The 17,761-nt window shown below is 35.8% G+C and overlaps 1 protein-coding gene across 9 annotated transcripts in view, besides 1 other annotated feature; it reads right to left on the bottom strand.

Annotated features, from left to right (window-relative positions):
• The window catches only part of NKAIN2 (sodium/potassium transporting ATPase interacting 2), a 1,021,776-nt gene that overhangs the window by 129,202 nt on the left and 874,813 nt on the right, over window positions 1–17,761 (bottom strand). The gene's annotated exons all lie outside the window — the stretch shown is intronic.
• Window positions 12,413–13,012: an enhancer, noted in NCBI's record as "OCT4-NANOG hESC enhancer chr6:125004573-125005172 (GRCh37/hg19 assembly coordinates)". NCBI's record gives its function as "activates a minimal SCP1, AML or CMV promoter by ChIP-STARR-seq in naive H9 embryonic stem cells {active_cell/tissue: H9 hESC(naive)}" and the evidence as "EXISTENCE:reporter gene assay evidence [ECO:0000049][PMID:30033119]".

Raw genomic sequence — 17,761 nt, 5'->3', positions numbered from 1 at the left:
CTGAAGCAAAACCAGTTTGTATGTGGCCCTTTTGGGGCTCGGAAAATGATGCCCCAAAATATGGCACTTAGGCATACTGAGTACTTTTAATGAAAGGAAATTGGAAAACCTCAGAAGCAGCCTCAGAAGCAAACTCTCTCTCTGAGCTTCTCCTTTCCTCCTGTCTCCCACTTCACATTCGCATGCAAAGTGATTCATACAAACCAGAATTCATCTTCTCCAAGGTAGGTCATGGAAGCTAGAACCCCTCTCCTCCAAAGCAAGCAATCAAATCTAGAAAGATCACTCTTTACCTTCTCCCTGAAGACTCTCACAGAGGTCCTTCCTCCTACCTGAGAGGATGAAATGCTACACAGAGAGACCAAGAAGAATCTGAACAGACAGATGAGTTTGCCCTCTCAGTCTATTGCCATTAGATCCCACCATTATGTCCAATCACATGTCTACAAGGCTGTCCATTCTTCAAGGAACCTAAGCACAAAAGCAGTTTCCCCTGCATCTTTGGGTCTTCATTTTGAATGCCATCATGCTACATAAAATTTTGCTTAAATAAATTTGTTATGCCTTTCTCTTGTTAACCAGTCTTTACTTAGAGGAGTGTTGGCCATGGCCCTTATGATGGGTGAGAAAAGATAGCACATCTTTCTGTTCCTGCAGCCCTCCTTCCTATATGAACCTATGTGTTCTTTGAACCCTCCTACTTTAGCCGAGTTTGCATTCCATTTCCTTTTTCACTTAAGGTAATAGGAAAATGAAATATTTTTTAATGCAACATAGTCCTCTGAAAATAAATGTCCTTTCAAGTCACAAAGCAGATTTCTTCATATCTGCCAGAACTCTCGTTTTAAAATAGACATGGCTTAAAATTTGGTTACTCAGGCTACTGTTATCAATATAAGACCATTGCATTATGTGAATGCACAGAACAATATTTAACCTTCATAAAGCTCTCAGAATCAAATCAATAAGTGGAGTTCAAGGAAAATTCTTGCAAGAGAGTTATGAGATCTTTAAAATATTTGTCTGAGATTCATGCTATTGTCCTGGTAAGAATAGATTTGCCCTAAGAAACCCTTAAATGAGTTTTGATGGCTGGTGTTCTGAGCTGGTCAATCTCTCTGACATATACGTTTGTATCTAAATCTTCTGCAGTCTAAAGTATTTTCAGAAGCAGAGGCAGAAAGGGTTGTTTATTAATCCCTGATGGACCACAAGGTATCATCCATATTGAAAATCTGTTCTGAGGTTCTACTTTTTTTTTTTTTTTCTGGGTAGGCTACAGTAGCAGTAAATCCTGTTTACCTAGTTAAAGACAAATGAAGACATTAAAAGAAGCAAAGAACAGTCTTTCCATGCACTACTGAAAAAACACTATCCAATAAAAAAACAAGGAGGAAGAGGAAGAGGAGATGGTTTAAGGGCATATATGACATATTATAAAGGTACTGCTAGAGCTTGAAAAACAAAACAAACAAAGTCAATAACTCCATAACAAAAGAAAACAAAACCTTCTATCACCTATTTGTATACTTTTGGGTAAAACAAAACCCAAATATTTTTATTAAATTTACTGGCACTCTTAGCTGACTGTGCAAATATAGTCTTCACTTCTGTCAATAAATATTCATGTTAATTTTCTAGGTAAAAAAATCAATTTCATGCTAGCAGGAAGCTTCAGAAAGTGACTAGATTAAACTATGGCTTCCAGCTACACGTTTCTAGCACCAAAAATAACCATATGGCATTGAATGTGTGCAGGTCACTCTGGAGATTTACTGTAATTATGTCATGATGCGCTTATTCAACAGCCTTTCTTGCCTCTCTACCTGCTTTGTTCAAGAGCAGCTGCTGGATTCAAGCTGTTGTCTGTTTCCAGCACAGAGGCTGAATGAAGAAATGCTTTCTAGGGAAGTCATATTCCAAAGCAGGAATGGCAACAATAAATGGATTCAATGGGGGAACATAAAGTTCACTGGGCAAAAGTCTCTCAATCAGCCGGTGCTAATTTACTCCTGCCGGTTCCAATTGGTAAATAACACTGCCTATGCAATTTATGCAAAGTTGAAAGGGTTGGGGGGTGGATTTAATGAACAGAGGAACAGAATACTGCTTTGCAGAGTGCCTGATTGTGATGGTTTCATTAAAGCGACTGCTTGAGTGAGCCTCAAGTACTATTCCTACTCACCATATGTGCCAGGACAACAGAATCATGAATGCCAGGGTGAAGAACATTCCATTATTTTCTGCTAAAGATAATGCTCAGTAAATATATATACACACACACATAGACTTGTTTAATTACATACTCTATGTTAAATATTCATATATGCAAACGTGCTTTTAAACAAATGCCTTAAACACTTGGAATGTGGGTGTACAAGATGCAGATTTAGGGTAATTGACTTGGGTTACTGATTTTTATGGCAAGGACAGCTTTTATAAAAATGTGTTTTACAAATTATTTTAAAAATGGACCTTTATTTTTCTTACAGTTTACAAGCAAGTAGGCAGGACTGAAACAGATGCAATTTAGAGGACTTTATATTGTATACTGTTCCCGCTTGGATTCATAAGGTGCATTTTCTCTATGGGTCTTAAGACAGGAAGGGTCTAACTAACTGGAGATGTAAAGAACAGTGTGCTAATGCATCCACATCCAGCATCTGGAACCTCTTTGGCTTCCTCTGGTATGACACTCCCTGTGCTCCAGCCACACAAATGCCAAACTGTGTTTGATTGAAATGCCTGCCCTTTCCCTTCTCCCCTTCACCTACTACTCCGAATAACTCCTCAGCCTTCAAGGCTCAGACAGAAGTACCTCACCTTCACCTTGCCTTCTCTCATCTTCCAAGGGTGAGTTAAGTGTTCCTTATCTGAGTCACCCTATTATCTGGGCTTTTTTCGATAACACTACCTACCACATCACCTTGGAATATTTGGTTTAAATGCCTCTCTCCAACCTACAGTAAACAGTCGTGAATCATTTAGCGATGGTTCTGAGAAACGGATCCATAGGTAATTTTGTCAGTGTTGAACATCACAGAGTGTACTTATACAAACCTTGATGGTATAGGTCACTACACACCTAAGCTATGTGGTATAGCCTATCACTCCTAGACTACAAACCTGTGCAAAATGTTACTGTACTGAATGGTGTAGGCAATTGTAACAAAGTGCTATTTGTGTATCTAAACATGTCTAAACCTAGAAAACATACAGAAAAAAACAGTATTATAATCTATGGGACCAACATTGTATATGTGGTCTGTGGTTGACCAAAATGTCATGTGGCTCATAAATGTACTCCCCAAGGCAGGAGAATTCTATACAAACGACCCTGTTTTTACTTAGCACACTTCTGAATGGATAATTTTAAAGAATGTGATTTGAGATAGAAGTTCAGTGTAAATACTGGCCAGATCAGGTTTCTTTAACATCTGCATTGTGATGCATAATGTTCACTGTGATGAGTTCAAATTATACTAAATGCTCCAACAATAGGTTGGGCATTTAAAACCATAAAAATGTTTCCTGTATCAAATGCATAGTTCGTCTTGTGATACTACTGGAGCTGGCATCACATAACTGACTTTTTCATGTTACATATATTTTTTTTTTTCTTTTGAGACAGCCTTGCTCTGTCGCCTAGGCTGGGTGTGCAGTGGTGTGATCTCGGCTCACTGCAACCTCCGCCTCCCAGGTTCAAGTGCTTTTCCTGCCTCAGCCTTTTGAGTAGCTGGGACAACAGGCGCCTGCCACCATGCCCGGCTAATTTTTTGTATTTTTAGTAGAGACAGGGTTTCACTGTGTTAGCCAGGATGGTCTGGATCTCCTGACCTGGTGATCCACCCACCTCAGGCTCCCAAAGTGCTGCGATTACAGGTGTGAACCACCGCACCCGGCCCTCATGTTACGTAATTTTTATATGTGAAGTGATAATGACCTTCATTAAAATAATAAAACTTCTGAGTGACTGTGAAAAAAATAACTACCTTATTTAAAGGCAATTTATTTTGTGCTCATTTATCTCACAGAGCTTTGTTTATTTTTATATAACAAAACGGGAGGGTGAGAAATAGTGTTTTTATGAGAATACTTTGTCTCAATGATTTTTGTATCATCTACAAACTCTGATGCAAATTTATGAAGAGCTGAGAAAAACAGCAAAGTTATTTTTGTTTATTACTTCCATCCTACTTTTAGCCGTTATGAAAATATTTATTTAAAAAATAGTAGTGGAATATTTCTTTTCTGATGCATTGTGAATTACAGCTTATGAGTTCTAATAGGAGTTAAACCAGTATTTAAACAAAGGTAAAACATATTAATACATGTAGTAATACATTTTATAATAGAAGTGATTTTAGGCCCTTTTAATAGAAAGATAGCCAAATATTCAGTTTTATTCGAATATCGCATTTTATATTTTTATCCTTTAACAAAATATAACAATGCACTTTTATCATTTGATGATCATGAAGAAATCACAGTGTACTGACACAGGAAAGAAGTTAGAAAGAAGTGATGTGATTTTCTTAAGACCTATCGTCAAAAAAAACTATATTGTAAAGTATATTTCAGTTTATTACCGTGTGTTTGTTTCTTTTTTAATTTCCTGGCTATGCTTATTCTGTGTTGTAGGAGGAGGTGGTGTGAGAGAGGGCCTCACCTGTTACCAGTAAGGTGATAATCTTGGAATGGAAAAATCAAATAGGTCATTTTTTTCTAAGGATAATCCTGGGTGGATGACTTTTTCCATTCTTATTTGGCCAGAGTAGACTTTTAAAGAGGTATAAATGAAAGTAAACTTGGATAATTCAGAAGAAAAATAAAAATGTAAAGCTGTAAATTAATTTGGGAACCAGTGGCTATTCAACCTGACAATAAAAGTGGAGACAACACGTGGGGCGGGGGGCGGTAATGGACCTTAGTTTGCCTGAATTCTCGGCAGAGGAACTCATCTGAAGAGCCAGAAAATCAATTATGAAGAATTTGAATTTTGTACAGTAGTGACAGGGAGCAAACACAGGGTTTGAGGACTGGCAGGCAATAAAGCTGGTTTTGGCAGCAGTATTTTCTGCTGATTAGAAAGGACATAGACTGAGAGTAGTGAGGTTAAATGGAAATTAGGTTGAAGTGGTCCAGGAGTGTAGTGATTAGAGCAGAGATTGCCATCTGGTCAATGGGGATAGAGAGGTGATTTTTAGTTTTCTTAGCAGAAGTGATCCAGTATTGTTGAATAATCCAAATGTGGCATAGGAAAATAATGGAGGTAAAAACAAGTGTAATGACATGCTTGGAATAAAAGCAGTGTTTTCTATCGCACAATTTGGAAAGCATAGGTGGAGATAAAACAAATATAAAAAGTTACAACTTTTAACCTCCTGCCTTCCTTGCATTCTGTTTTTCCCCCTCCTTCCTCCTTCATTCCTTCCTTCCTACAAATCTTAAACACTTACTCCAGGCACATTGAAAAGCTGGGAGGGTAGATTGGAGAGAATGGATAACAGATCCTAAATATTTAATTCTAATATGACAGGCAAAAGAAAGCCATGTGACAAAATAAATCCAGTGCTTTAGGAGGAAAGTGTGACTTTAATGTGTGGAACAACAGAACAGAAGAGAGAGGAAGTGCATTCAATTGAATTGAGGAGAAAGCTGCTATGCTATTCAGGTGAGATGTGATGAGACAGCAGTGGTGGCAGTAGGGAGGAAGATTCCATCTGAGATACAGTGTAGAGAAAGAATACGTACTAAGAGCCAAACTGTGGCAAAAAAATGACATGAAAAGAACAATTTCTCCTATGGGTAAAAAATCCTGAGGCATTAAACTAGAAATGTAAGTTAAACTGTTCAACTTGATAAAGAATATCTAGAAAAAGCTACATCATATTTAATGGTGAGAAACTAGAAAATTCCTAAGACCAGGAATATAAATATGTCCCCTTTCAACACTTCTTTTCAACATTTTACTGGAAGTCATAATGAAATGAGACAAGAAAAGGAAACTGAAGGTATGCTGATTGAGAAGGAAGAAATAAAACTGTCTTTGCAAACCATACGATTCTCTATGTAGAAAATCTAAAGAAATCAGCAAAAAACTTTGGGAACTCATAGCAATTGTAGCAAGGTTGCAGGATATAAGATTAATAAACAGAAGTCAATTGTTTTCCTATATACCAGCAATTAACAAGTAAAATTTGAAATTAAAAGCACAATAGTATTCACATTGGCACCACAAAAATGAAATACATAGGAATAAATCCATCAAAATATGTACAAGATTTATATGAGAAAAATTACAAAACTCTGTTAAAATGTCAAAGAAGTAAATAAATGGAGAAATATGCCATGTTCATGGATAAGATTATTCAATATTTCAAGATATCTGTTCTTCTGAACTTGATCTATGAATTCAATGCAATTCAAATAGAAATGCCAGCACATTATTTTGTGAATGTCAACAAACAGATTCAAATCTTTATATGGAGAGGAAAAGACTCAGAACAGACAACACAATATTGGAGGAAAAGACCAAAGTTGGAGCAGTGACACACTATAACCTCAAGACTTACTCTCATTGATTAAGATAGTGTGGTACTAGTGAAAGATTAGATAAGTAGATCAATGGAACAGAATAAAGAGTCCAGAAATAGAGCCACATAATATAGTCAAACTAATCTTTGTTACAGAAACAAAGACGAAGCAATAGGGGAAGAATAGTCTTTTCCACAAATGGATTTGGAACAATTGGACATCCACATGAATCTAGAATGAATCTAAACATAGACCTGGTACTTTTCACAAAAATTAACTCAAAATAAATCAAGATTTAAATGTAAAAATGCAAAACTATAAAGCTTCTAGAAGGTGACATAAGAGAAAATCTAGATGACATTGGTTTGGTGATGACTTTTTAGACATGACACTGTCTTTGCACAATCTATGAAAGAAAGAATTAACAAGATGCTTTTCATTAAAATTAAAACTTTGTGCTCTGTGAAAAATACTGTCAAGAGAATGAAAAGAAAAGCAACAGTATGGAAGAAAACATTTTCCAAAAACATATATGATAAAGGACTGCAATCCAAAATACACAATGAACTCTTAAAACTCAATGGTAAAAATGGGCCAAAGATTTTAGCAGACACCTCACCAAAGAAGACATCCAGATGTCAAATAAGTAGATAAAAAAGGTGTCCAACATCATATGTCATCAGGGAGATGTAGGCTGAAACAAAAATAACATAGCTCTACACGCTTTTTACAATGCCCAAAATCCAGAACAGTGACAGCATCAAATGCTGGCAAGGATGTGGAGGAAGAGGAACTATCATCTATTGCCAGTGAAAATGCAAAATGGTATAGCAATTTTGGAAGACAGTTTGGCAGTTTCTTAGAAAACTAAATACACTCTTACCAAATGAACTAGCAATTGTGCTCCTTGGTATTTACTCAAATGAGTTGAAAACTTAAATCCACACCACAATCTGTGCACAGACCTTTATAGCAGCTTTATTCATAATTGCCCAAATTTGGAAGCAACCAAGTTGTTCTTTAGGAGGTAAGTGGATATATAAACTGTGGTTCATCCAGACAATGGATTATTGTTCAGTGATACAAAGAAATGAATTATCAAGCCATGAAAAGATATGGAGAAAACTTATATTTACATTACTGAGTAAAAGAAGCCAATGTGAAAAGACAACATATAACTTCAACTATATGACATTCTGGAAAAGACAGAAGTATAGAGACAGTAAAAGGAACAGTAGTTGCTAGAGGTTAGAAAGGATGGAGGGGGAGGGCTGGGTAGACATAGCATGGTGAATTTTTAGGGCAGTGAAAATACCATATATGATGCTACAATGGTAGATACATGTTATTATTACAAACCAAAAGAATGTACAACACTAACAGTGAACCACAATGTAAACTATAGACTCTGGGTGATAATGATGTCTCAATGCAGATTCATCAATTGTAACAAATGTATCACTCTGGTGGAGGATGCTGATAATGGGGGAGGCTGTGCATGTGGAGGGGCAGGGGTACTTGGGAACTCTCTGTACCTTTCTTCAATTTTGCTATTAATCTAAAATGGCTCTAAAAATGTATTTAATAAGAAAAAACAGGCCTGGGAGAATCAGAAAAAGGAATGGCTCAAAAAGATACATTCAGATTTCAAGACAGAGTACATGATACAAATATAAAATCTGGTGAGGTAAAGCACTGAATGTGGTAACGGATTAACACTTAGTTATACTGTTATATTTGTTAACGCTTGCAGAACAGCAGAAAAAAAGTAAATTAACAGAAACTCAGTGTTATCATCAAATTTGGGAGATTAGAAATGTTTTCTATCCAAATGACACTCATCCTCAGGGTAGAAAAAAATTGACCTGTGATGAATAATGATGGTTAGTAAATTGTTTTTCAAAAGCATAATAGCTGGTTGCTGGAAGCAAAAAATGAAGAAGAATTAATCAGTGATAAAAAGGCAGGATGTTTAAATAAATGGAAGTTCTATCAGATCCTGTGGCAGACAGACTCTAGGAGGGCCCCCATGATTCCTCTCTCCAGTATTGCATACTTTATAAGTATGGGTATTGTATTAGTCAGGGTTCTCTAGAGGGACAGAACTAATAGAACAGTATGTGTGTGTGTGTGTGTGTGTGTGTGTGTGTGTGTGTGTATATATCATATATATTTATATTATATATATTATATTCATATATTCACTATATTCATATATATAGCCCAAATATATATATGGTATATTCTCTCTCTATATATATTCCATATATAAATACATACACACATATAAATATATATACATAATATATATTTATATTATAAATATATATTATATATACCATGTATGTATATGTATGGAATATATACCATGTATGTATATGTATGGAATATATACCATGTATGTATATGTATGGAATATATATATTCCATGTATGTGTATATATGGAATATATACCATGTATGTATATGGTATACATGGAATATATATATTCCATACATACACATACATGGAATATATATATTCCATGTATGTGTATGTATGGAATATATATATTATATGTATATGTATGGAATATATATATTACATATATATTCTCTATATATAGAATATATATATTCTCTCTCTATATATAGAGAGAATATATATAGGTAATATATATATTCTCTCTATATATATTCCACATATATACACATATATACATTCCATATGTATATATGTATATGGAATATATATAGAGAATATTTATATTCCATATATATATATATTTAAGGGAGCTTATTAAGTATTAACTTACATGTTCACAAGGTCCCACAATAGGCTGTCTGCATGCTTGAGGAGCAAGAAGAGCCAATTCCAGCCTCAAACCTGAAGAACTTGGAGTCTGATGTTCAAGGGCAGGAAGTATCCAGCACAGGAGAAAGATGTAGGCTGGAAGCCTAGGCCTATCTCACCTTTTCATGTTTTTCTGCCTGCTTTCTATTTGCTGGCAGCTTATTAGATGGTCCCATCAGATGAAGGGTGTGTCTGCCTTTCCCAGCCCACTGACTCAAATGTTAATCTCCTTTGGCATCACCCTCACAGACACACCCAGGATCAATACTTTGTATGCTTCAATCCAGTCAAGTTTACACTCAGTATTAACCATCACAGGTATGGCCATATGACTTGCTTTTAACCAACAGAACACAGAAAAGGGGATAGGATGTATGTGATGCATATACAGGATTACCTGCATAAGATTATGATATGGTTTGGATCTGTATCCCTACCCAAATATCATGTAAAATTGTAATACCCAATGTTGGAGGTGAGGCCTGGTAGGAGGTGATTGGATCATGGTGGTGGTTTTTCATGAATGGTTTAGTGCTGTTCCCCTAGTGCTGTTCTTGTTATAGGGTTCTATGAGATCTGGTTGTTTAAAGGTGTGTAGCACCCCTCCCCTTTCCTCCTGCTCTGGTCATGTCGGGTGTTTGCTCCCTTTTTGCCTTCTGCCATGATCATAAGTTTCCTGAGGCCTTTCCAGAAGCTGAGCAGAAGCTGTCATGCTTCCTGCACAGTCTGTGGAACTGTGAGCCAGTTAAACCTTTTTTCTTTATAAATTACCCAGCCTCAGGTATTTCCTTATAGCAGCGAGAGAACAGACTAATACAGGTTGTATGTAAGGCCTGCCTTGCGGGAGTCTTTCCCTTGCTTGCAGATGTCAAGAAACAAGCTGCAATATTGTGGACTGCCTATGTTAGGAAGTCCACAAGACCATGAACTACAGGCAGCCTATAGGAGCTGAAAGAGTCTGCTGGTTGACAGCCAACCAGAAACCAAAGCCCCCAGTCCTACATGCACACAGAACTGAATTCTGCCAACAATCTCAGTGAGCTTGGAATTTAATCCTTCCCCAGCCAAGCCTCAGCTGAGAACACAGCCCTGGCCAAAACTTTGATTATCATCTTGTGAGAAACACTGAAGCAGATAATTCAGCTAAGCTGGGCTTGAAATTCTTTTCCATAGAAACTGTGACATAATGAATGTGTGTTGTTTTAAGCTGCTAAGTTACTCTTAATTGATATAGCAGCAATAGATAACTAATACAGACATGAAGATATGGTGAAGAAGTTTCTAGCCTAGTGAAAGCAGAACTGAATTTTCGTAGTCAAGATATTTTTATCATTCTGAGTCTTGATTTGTTTTACTCATAACATGAGAAAGTTGGACTAGAATGTCTCTCATGCCTTTTCTGACCAGAATTGGATCTAGATGAAGGGTTCTTAGGATAGCATTTCATAATATAGCCAATATAGAATTTTTTTCATTGTGCATTTTATCGTGTGCTAGACACAAAGATAATCACTTTTTCATTAACTGTCACATTGATATCCCAAAATTCTTTATTGTTATCCTCATAAAAATACCAAAGTTGGAGGATTTTCTTTGTACAACTTCTTGCAAATAATCTCATATGTAATATCATTGGCAAATTGTTAGTGGTCAGTCTTGAGCAATGAAAAGTGGATCAAATTTTGAGAAACCACTACATTAAGCAATTACATTTCAAATTTAATGCATCCTTCACTACTAATTATTGTTATTCTCTGCCTTTTTAGTTTAAAGTAGAATTGTTCACCTTTTCACAGAAACTAAAATAGGTAGAAAATTTTTTTAATGTTACTCCATTTTCTATAGTGACCTTCCACATGTTTACTTCAAGCCACTTGTGTATCATATGAGAAATATCTCAAATTCCTACTTACTGAATTTGTCAGTCTCTGATCCTCAGAATTGGATTTAAAATATGTAAACAAATGACTTCCAATACCATGTGATAAGTGCAAAAATAGTAGTATGAATGTATTTCTGTGAGACCCCAATATATAAAGTAACTAACCTTACCCAGGAAGTCAGGGAAGACTTTATCAATATGAGCTGGATCTTATGGGATGGATAAGAATCTTTCTGATAAGGAAACAAGAAGGAGGAATAGGATAGTATTTTAGAACAGGAAAAGCATGTTCACATTTCAGAATTCCCAAAGGGCAGGGAATGGAATGCCTGGGGCTGGATGTTAGGTATTTGGGGGTTAGGGTGGTTTGCTATTGTTATTGGCATTTCCCTATTTACTTACTCGGTGTCCAGATGTAGTAAGCACTCAATGAATTCTAGTTAAGTGACTGAATGGCTGAACTAATGAATGAGGCTGCAGAGATAGACGGCAAACATTGTGTAAAGACTCTGTGTCAGACTAAGGAACTTATGCTTTCATCCTCTTGGCTAGAAGAAACCCATTACAATGATTAAATTTGTCAGATTTTAATGGGTTTTTATATGTTTTATGAGACTTCTCTCTATTCACTCCCCTAATCCCAGCAAATGTTTTAGAATAATATGTAGTATAAATTGTTTACTAACATTTTTCTTTTGCTAAGGTAGTGGACATCAAAGTTTAATTTGCATCAGAATTATCTGGAGAAGTTGTTTAAAAATATTGCTGAACTGCATCACACAGTTTCTGATAGGAGTCTGGGGTGGAGCCTGAGAATTTGCATTTTTAGCAATATCCCTGGTGCTGCTGTTGCTCCTGGTCTAAGAACTACACTTTAACAAATCTCTATTTACTAAACTCCACTACAAGTCATTAGGCTGTTAACTGCTGTTATGTCTTTTAAAAAATGGAAAATATCTTCAACAGATTCATGCAAACACAAAATTTCGAGCAGACATGTATTTATTTTCCTATTGCCTTTGAAGATACCAGATTGCAGGTGTAACCAATGTTATGGAATTGGTACATGCCTAAAACTGTTGTATGTTAAATTCCATATTATATCACTAAGAAAAAATCTTTAGCTGAATCCTCAAGAAAGAATTAATTTTATGATGTAAATGCTCACCCCTAATTTACTGGTTTATGTGTTGTTATTGTTTTGAAACTTAATGGTTTCTTATGGGGACTCACATGTAAAGAACCTGTTCTCCTTTAGAAATCCAGTGAGACTTATTGGTTTGCAGGGAGCCTCAACTTTCCACAATATGCTGAATCCTATACACACTAGCCAGAACCATGTGGGCTCGCCATTACTGCCAAGTCCCAAATCTCTCTGCATAGTGATGTTTTTCCTACTTGCTGTGAATAAGAACAGCTGCCCCTTTTGTCTCTGCATTTGAAGCCAATGCTTATGCTTGAGTGAGTGAATAGAGAGGTCGGTGTTGGCTCTTCATGTGCTAAAGCAGGGTGGGGGGGATCAAACAAGGTGCTTGCACACTAGTCAAGCACGCACACTGGTCAAGCACGCACCCTGGAGGCTGATGAAAGCATGTAATGTGCTGCTCAGCCTTGCAGAATCTTCTCCTCTATATGGGGTTTCTATTTCTCTGAGCCCTTCACATGGACTCTACTTGGTAGATGCATTATCAACCTCCCTAATTCCAGTAAACTGTGTGCAGGAAAAGCAACTTCTCTGAGTGGAGGAGATTTTGACATGTGGGCAGCAGAGAAATAATGTAGGAATTTAAGTCTGGCCAAGGAGATCATTTAGATAAACGTAGACGTTTGACAACACATAGCAATATAGAGAAAGTCTCATTAAAAAGTCCCTAATGGCATCACATAGACTTATCTTGTTGCCCACAGGAACGGAATTTTCTGCTCTCCATGGTTACATTTAAAGGGTTGAGAATCTGTGATCCTTTTTCTGCGAATGGGATGTGATTGAAATAGTGAATTAACACTTTCTACTCATGGTTCATTTTATTTCAGTTAATGGCACCGGTGATATTCACCTGTCAAGTATTTACTTATGTTTGTTACAAATGTGTTTGAGGACAAAGGTGGGTGGAAAACCAAGCCTAATCTTGATCCAAGAACAGTGTGTATTTTCTTTATTTAGAGAGTTGAAAATTTATCATGACATATGCTGGCTGCACAGTCAAAACTTATCACTGCCCACGACTTCGGAAGCATGACAGGAGAGCTGTGGGAGCCACTTCCTCGTCAGACGTGGTTTGATATGTCAAGTGAGAACCTGAGTAAAGCAAAGAGGTAATCTTTTTAGCTGGGCCTTCCATATGTAGGGTGATTGAAGTGATTCCATTAATCTCTACTCACAAAATAAAAAAAAGACGTTGTTTTATAGAGTTTATAATTCTCTGATGAGTTTTTTTAAGTTCCAATATATCAATCTTAATATTGGAGAGCATTAATTGATACTGTCCTGAAATGTAGATCAAGTGGAAAAATTTACTCAAGTTCAGCACATTTTGTTTGTATTTTATCACAAATATTGGTAGCATTTTCCTTCCGGATTGAAGTTGATGTTAGATACTATTTTACTTATACAATTCTTTTTGAGACTTAATACTGAGTTAAAATAATGATATCCTGTGGTTGTGAGTTCTTACAAAAACACTGGCTCTACTGTCAGTACTTCACGTCACAAAATCTAAAAGCTAATAAAATATTTTTAATCTTATGCTCCTACTCAAACATTGTGACCCTCCTACAGAATATGAATGTTTTAACAGATTAATACCATGACCTTTTTCAATTATATAGTGCCAGCATCTTTTTCAGATAAGCTTTTTGAAGTTTTCTAACTTATGACTACAAGGTCATCCTTCCTATAATGGGAACTAGTCATTAAAATTTGGTAGTTCTCTGATCATAGCTCTCTGGCTGTTTAAAGATTAGCCATTTCATGATCATTTATTTGTCCCCTAAATCTGTTCACCATTTCATTTAACTGTGTTACTAATAATTTTTATTTGTAAAAAAAAAACATTTTTTACTGGTGAAAATGAAAAGCTTGGATTTATATATGTTCAGAAATATTTTTGGAACTTGAAGTAAATCTCTGATTCTTTGAAAAATATGTACATTACATTTTTATCCCCAGTATTTGCTCTACTCTTTCTATTTTTCTCACCCTTCTCTTGCCTTTCCTGTAATATTTTCTTCTCCCTCTGTTCCTTTCTTTCATGGTTTCTTTGCAAATTTGCTTCACTGGTGCTCAAGGTATCAGTTCTGCATTTAAATGATCTCTTAAATTTTTATTTCTATTTCTGGTTTCCCACCTGTTTATAGGTGAGGGTGCTTAGAAGGATAGAATTATCAGAAACATAGAAGATTTTCTCACATAGAAGCCAGTAAGATTCTATATTATATCCAATTTTAGATTTCCCAAACATTCACTTTCTCTATCCCCATATGTCTCAATCTCCAATCTTCATTCCTATCTATAGCAGCAGAGCACATACACTATGCATATACTTTGGCAATAAGCAAAGTAACCAGAATGGCATAACAATAAATAATCACCCCTCTGAAAACTACATCATTCTGCAGCAAGCATAAGTCAAAGGGTACAAAGATATTTATCTGAAAATAGCAATTAAGTAACAAGATTAATCATACACCAAGATGATACATCAAGCTATTAATTATTCTCTGAACTTAGAGATTTTGAACAACATATAATTTATATTCAATCAGGGGTTTGTTTGTTTATTTTTAATAACATTTACCCCCAAAGAAGTGGAAGACAGTTAGATGTGTGATTTATATCAAAGAAGATGATATTCTTAGTGGGAGGTAGAAAGGATAGAAGACAGATGTTAAAAAAAGTTAAAATAAATTCCTGCTGTTTTATAGGTGGACTTGAAATTAAATATATAAGTAGAGCCCTAGGTTATATTTCTTAGATGCTAATAAAATAATATGTGAACACTAGAGTCAATACAATGATTGATATGGGAAGAATATAGATCTGTAAAGTGCTTATCGTCCTAACCCTGGAAGGATTCAGCTGTATGACTCAGTGTTCTCATCTATAAAACAAAGAAATTATACTAAATAATCTCTATGGACTGTTCTCAGTTTTTGCATCCTGAAAGTAATATTTAGAATGGGATTAACTAGAATCATTTCTCATATGCTACTATCTAGTTGCATATTTTGGATTATTTTTTATTTATATATTAAGAAAAGTACTAAGTAGAAGTATATTTTAAATATGCCTAGTTTTTCCTTTCTTTCTCATTTATTTTATGAATATTATCTAATTAAAGTTAGGTATCTCATTGAACATTTAAGGGAAAGGACGGTCACTTTAAAATTTGCTTACAATTCTGTCTCAGCGCAAATATTATCTGCAGTGGTCAAGTAATTTGTTATATTTAACCTTTATTTTGTCCATTGAGAGTATGAAGTAAAAGCAAGAAAAAATCCTGGGCTGTCTTGTAATTCCCTTATTATTTGCATTATTTTTCATATGCATATATACAGTATTTGAATCAATAAATATATTTTAATTTGTATGTTCAGGGAGAGCCACCTGATAGCCAAATACCACTAAGACATAAAATCTAAGACTTTGGTTCCTGTATGTAGGAACTCTGACATTTATGCCAGTTCCTAGGTGGACTGTAAAGACGGATGCAAAACATTTATTCTCAGGTAAACATTTTTAAAACGGAGTGTTCTATGTTAAAAGGCTCTCAACCAGCTTTGAATGAGTTCATGAGAAGCTATCTAATTATTTGACACTAAAACTAGATGTCAATTCCACTCATAGATATATACTGATTCTGTCTTTGACTCATCAAATCATCAACTGCCACAGCATCTCTTGGCTTCTCCTTTATAAGGAGGTCTGCAGTAAATCTTTAAGGGAAACACATTCCTTAAATTTTAAACATTATTATTGATTGATTTATTCTTTCTTAAGGTCCCATATTCAAATAGCCGTCAAGTTTTGGTTCTTCCTTAGGTTACTTTACAACCAGATTATTATGGAGGAATTTTCAGTATAGTAGAAACAACAATTTGTTATTATTGCCTAATAGAAAATATAGCACATAAGAGAATTATAAGAAAATTTTGGTGGCTCATCGTAATAAATAATGATATCTCTTGCTTTCTTATCTATTTAGACACTTACAGTGGTTTCTGTTATCTTTCACATCACATTTAAAAATTTTGCCTAAATTTCAGACTCATTTATCAACTGACAACTTTGAATAGCCCAGCTCTCATGTAAAAATCCTGAATGGTCACTACTTCTACTTTTTCCATATAAACCTGCCTAGTTCCTGTCACACATTATTAACAATAATTACAACAAAACAACTAATATTTACTGAAGACCTATTCTGTGAAAAAAATAGAGACTTTTAAAAACCATTATTTATTTTATTCTCACCCACAAAATACAATGAATTAGGGATAGTGACATCATCAGATGGTAGAATAAAAATTCTCAGGCTCTCTTTCCTCTGTGGAGAAAATGACTAACACATGGATCCATTCTTTCTGTGAGTAATCAACAAACCAGTTAAGAGACTGCTAAACCCCAGGTGATTGCAAAACTAGCTGCATCAAAGCCAGAAAAATCGATGGCACTCATTCATCACAGTCCTTCCACTTGGCTCAGTATAGTATGATTGGGAAAATACCTCCAGCTCCTGGCTTCTTCCTAGGTAGGGAAGGAGAAAGCTGAAATATGTCCGACATTCATACTTTTTGGAGGGCTGCCCAAGGCACTGGTTTCTGTCTTGTCTAAATGTAAGTACTGACAGAAAAGGGCACCAATTTGAGCGTCACTGAAAAAAAAGTGATGCTTAGGACTAGCACACCCTTATGCATCATAGTCCCACCCTTGTCCCGGGTTCAGGGTAGAATGGGCAAGAGAAAACCCCAAGACATGGCTTCTTCCAGGGGAGGGAAAGAGTTGAAATGTGTTTGCAATATTCAGGATTATTTTTTGGGGGTGGGCTGTCCAGGGACTGGCTTCTCTCTTGACTGTCTTGGAGTCCTAATGAGACCTAGTATACTCGAGAAGCCTGTGGACCACAGAGAATAAAACAGCTAGGCATCTGATGATCACTCCGGAGAACCTTTGGTACTTCTGACATGCACCAAGGGAGTGAAAGAACACAAACTGCTGGAAAAAATGAAACTAGTAAATCGCTCTGATTTGAAATTTACACACACTAGTCCAGAGAAGATTCATCCATAGAAAAGGTTTGAGAAGTTGTCAGAGTCTGTAGGTGGGTTGATTAACAAAGATCTTTCCCTGTACAAAGCCAGTTTTTAAAGTTTGGGAGAAGTGGCTACTTTGACAAATGTGTGAATCCGAACAAAAGTTACAAGGCACATGAAGAAACAGGGAAACATGGCACAATCAAAAGAGCAAAAGAAAATTTCCACAAATGAACTCCAAACTATGGTGGTATATA

This window comes from Homo sapiens, chromosome 6, assembly GCF_000001405.40.
Source record: "Homo sapiens chromosome 6, GRCh38.p14 Primary Assembly".
NCBI lineage: Eukaryota > Metazoa > Chordata > Mammalia > Primates > Hominidae > Homo > Homo sapiens.
Note: the sequence above shows the minus strand (reverse complement) of the source record. Positions and strands in the feature narration are given on the sequence as shown.